The following is a 3,926-nucleotide window of genomic DNA, read 5'->3' on the forward strand; positions in this document are numbered from 1 at the left end:
AAGTGCTGGGATTACAGGCGTAATCATTTACGCCTGTAATTTACCCTAAAATGGTAAATTCTTTGTTATGTTTATTTAACCATAAAACCAAGAAAGTAACATTATTGGTTACTGAAATAGGTAAGTGGGAACTGGGTAGAAAGAACAAAGAACCGGGGCTGGGCGCAGTGGCTCACACCTACAATCCCAGCACTTTGGGAGGCCGAGGCGGTTGGCAACTTAGTGAAAGCCCATTTCTACAAAAACACAAAAATTAGCTGGGCATGATGGTGGATGCCTGTAATCCCAGCTACTCAGGAGGCTGACGTGGGAAAATTGCTTGAACCCGAGAGGTGGAGGTTGCTGTGAGCCGAGATTGCGCCATTGCACGCTAGCCTGGGTGACAGAGCGGGACTCCGTCTCAAAACAAAAACAAAAACAAAAAACAAAAAACAAACCAACAAAAAACAATGGGCAATGGGATTGGGAGAGAAGAAATGATGACTCAGTAAATCCTTTTGTCTGATTCTGACTTTTAGAACAATGTGATTGTTTCACATACTCAGAAAAATCATTAAATTCAACCAGGATGTGAGGGGAACCCAAAATAAAATACAAACAGTAATAAATGAACAATCTATATTACACATAAATATTATGAATACAAAGGGTTTAGGGAAGAAAGTAGTTTTAGAAAACTGTATTTTCACTATATACTGTAAGACTAAAGACAAAAAGAACTGTATGGTACATGGAAGTCAGCAATTCTTAAATTACTTTTTACACAGGACTGAGCAAATATATTTATATATATTAATACATATAATGGTTAATAAATAAATTATATTATGGTTAATGTGAGCCACATTTTTCAATGTCAAAGAAAGGAGTTACAAAAAGGGAAATGGAGGCAAGACATGGTGGTTCACATCTATAATCCCAGAACTTTGGGATGCCGAGGAAGGAGAATCACCTGAGGCCAAGAGCTCAAGACCAGCCTGGGCAAATAGTGAGGCCCTTGTCTCTACAAAAAATCTTAAAATTATATTTAAAAAAAAGGAAATGGAGGCCAGGTGTGGTGGCTTATGCCCGTAATCACAGCACTTTGGGAGGCAGAGGCAGGAGGATCACCTGAGGTCAGGAGTTTGAGACCAGCCTGACTATCATGACGAAAACCCGTCTTTACTAAAAATACAAAAAAAATTAGCTGGGCGAGGTGGTGGGCGCCTGTAATCCCAGCTACTCGGGAGGCTGAGGCAGGAGAATTGCTTGAACCTGGGAGGTGGAGGTTGCAGTGAGCCGAGATGGCACCATTGCACTCCAGCCTGGGCAAGTAAAATTCTGTCTCAAAAAAAAAAAAAAAAAAAAAAAAATCTGGAAATGGAGAGAAGGCTAGAATGAACCCTGTAGTGTTGCACTGAAATTGGAGATACTATATGAACTCATGAATTATTTGTATATACATACATATAAACACATTTCATAGCTGAGAGGACCTAGAAGCAATGACATCTCAGAAGCAATGAAGATATCTAACCTTGGTTTCAAAAAATCATTTTTTTTTTTTTCCTGAGACAGGCTCTTGTTTCATCACCCAGGCTGGAATGCAGTGGTGTAATCTTGGCTCGCTGCAACCTCCGCCTCCCGGGCTCAAGCAATCCTCCCGCCTCAACCTCCCGAGTAGCTGGGACTACAGGTACTCGCCACCACACCTGGCTGAAAAAAAATCATTTTCTAATAAAAGGAACCAATGGTCCCCGGGAAATTTGTAGATTCCAGGACTGGGGCAGGGAAAGTACCACATCAACGTGGAACACCTTGTGGTGCCAGAAAATAAATAATAAAAATAGTAAATAAAGAGGCCACATTGAAAGGACACAGGAATCGACTTGAAGGGGCTCCCAGTGGCCAAATGTGTGATAATTTGAGCAAAAAAAAAAAATGATAGCAATGAATATATAACCTATAGAATAAAAGAGATTATAACCTATAGAAGAAATTCCAGTCTATACTTATAGAAATAATTTAGTAAATAAAAAAATGGGAAAGAAGAAAAATATCTTTCTAACAGTAAGATTCTAATTAATAAGGCCAGGCGAGGTGGCTCACGCCTATAATCCCAGCATTTTGGGAGGCCAAGGTGGGCAGATCACCTGAGATCAGGAGTTCGAGACCAGCCTGTCCAACATGGTGAAATCCCATCTCTACTAAAAATACAATTATTAGCCGGGCGTGGTGGTGTGTGCCTGTAATCCCAGAAACTTGGGAGGCTGAGGCAGGAGAATCGCTTGAATCCAGGAGGCAGAGGCTGCAGTGAGCTGAGATCATGTCACTGCATTCCCAGCCTGGGCAACAAGAGCCAAACTCCAACTCTCTCTCACACACACACACACACACACACACACACACACACACAATTCTAATTAATAAACATAGAAGTGGCCGGGCGCGGTGGCTCACGCCTGTAATCCCAGTACTTTGGGAGGCCAAGGTGGGTGGATCACGAGGTTAGGAGATCGAGACCATCCTGGCTAACACGGTGAAACCCCATCTCTACTAAAAATACAAAAAATTAGCCAGGCGCGGTGGCAGGCACCTGTAGTCCCAACTACTCGGGAGGCTGAGGCAGGAGAATCGCATGAACCAGGGAGGCGGAGCTTGCAGTGAGCCGAGCTCGCGCCACTGCACTCCAGCCTGGGTGACAGAGCAAGACTCTGTCTCAAAAAAAACAAAAAAAAAAAGAAGAAAAAATAAACATAGAAGTGATGATGGAAACAAACCCCAAAACCCCACCATTTGACAAATAGCTGGTAACAACTTTTTCAGGCAAGCGTCATCAACGGATAAGACTAATAGATGAAAGGAGGATAAGAAACGGGATATTCACATAGGCTTAAAGTATTTCTTCACAAGACATGTATCAATTATAATGGGAAAAACAGTGACTTTGCAGCAGAGAAATCTGGCAATCACCGTCTTAACCAAGCGGTTAAAATTAATACCACTCATAGTGTAACGAATTGACCTCGTGGGTCCCTGGCATGATGCGCCGAGAAGGGTACATCGCTTTCGGAGTATTCTTGCCCCAAAGGCAGAATCTGAATTTAATCAACAGGAAATATCAGACAATTCCAAAGAGAGGAACATTCTACACTGCAGACTCTACAAAACAAATGGCCAACATGGTGAAACCCTGTCTCTACTAAAAATACAAAAAATTGGCTAGGCGTGTCAAAGGAGTTACAAAAAGGAAAATGGAGACCAGACATGGTGGTTCACATCTCTAACCCAGCACTTTGGGATGCTGAGGGAGGAGGATCACTTGAGGCCAGGAGTTCGAGACCAGTCTGGCCAACATGGTGAAACCCCCCTCCCCCCGTCTCTACTAAAATTACAAAAAATCAGCTGGGCACGATGGCATTTGTCTGTAATCTCAGCTTCTCAGGAGGCTGACGCAGGAGAATCGCTTGAGCCTGCGAGGTGGAGGTTGCAGTGAGCTGAGATCACAGCACTGCACTCCAGCATGGGTGACAGAGCAGGACTCCGTCTCAAAAAAAAAAAAAGAGCAAATGGGAATTCTATTGTTGCTACATTTTAAAGTCTTAAATTCAAAATGAAAAGTAAAGAAAAAAATTTAAAAGAACATTAGGTATGCAGGGAGCAGGGAGGATATAGGCCTTTCAGTCCATCTCCAAGGCACGCAGTAAATTACTCCTATGGCAAATACTGGAGACCAGGTTACTTTGGTAGGGGTGAGGGTGGTGGTGGGGTGGTTCTGAAGTTTCAGAAGAAGGAAAGAAAAGCATGTCCTGAAAAACAAGAAGGATTTCAGAGAAATAAGAATAAAACCTGATGTACTTGAACTTGGCACCTTTCTTGGAGAAGGGTTAAGAGCAAGGAATCATGAACAACCAGGTCATTTTTGAACCACCATCCTCCTTACCTAC

General features: G+C 42.7%; 1 protein-coding gene across 7 annotated transcripts in view; it reads right to left on the reverse strand.

Annotated features, from left to right (window-relative positions):
* ZNF565 (zinc finger protein 565) overlaps positions 1-3,926 on the reverse strand; it is a 63,869-nt gene that overhangs the window by 27,033 nt on the left and 32,910 nt on the right. The window contains exon 2 of one of the 7 annotated variants that reach the window (NM_001366189.1): positions 1,517-1,695. The exons of the other annotated variants lie outside the window; for them this stretch is intronic. The gene's annotated coding sequence lies outside the window, so the exon portion shown is untranslated. The remainder of the gene's footprint in view (positions 1-1,516; positions 1,696-3,926) is intronic. 7 annotated transcript variants of the gene reach the window in all.

Source organism: Homo sapiens, chromosome 19 (assembly GCF_000001405.40).
Source record: "Homo sapiens chromosome 19, GRCh38.p14 Primary Assembly".
NCBI classification, from domain to species: Eukaryota; Metazoa; Chordata; class Mammalia; order Primates; family Hominidae; genus Homo; species Homo sapiens.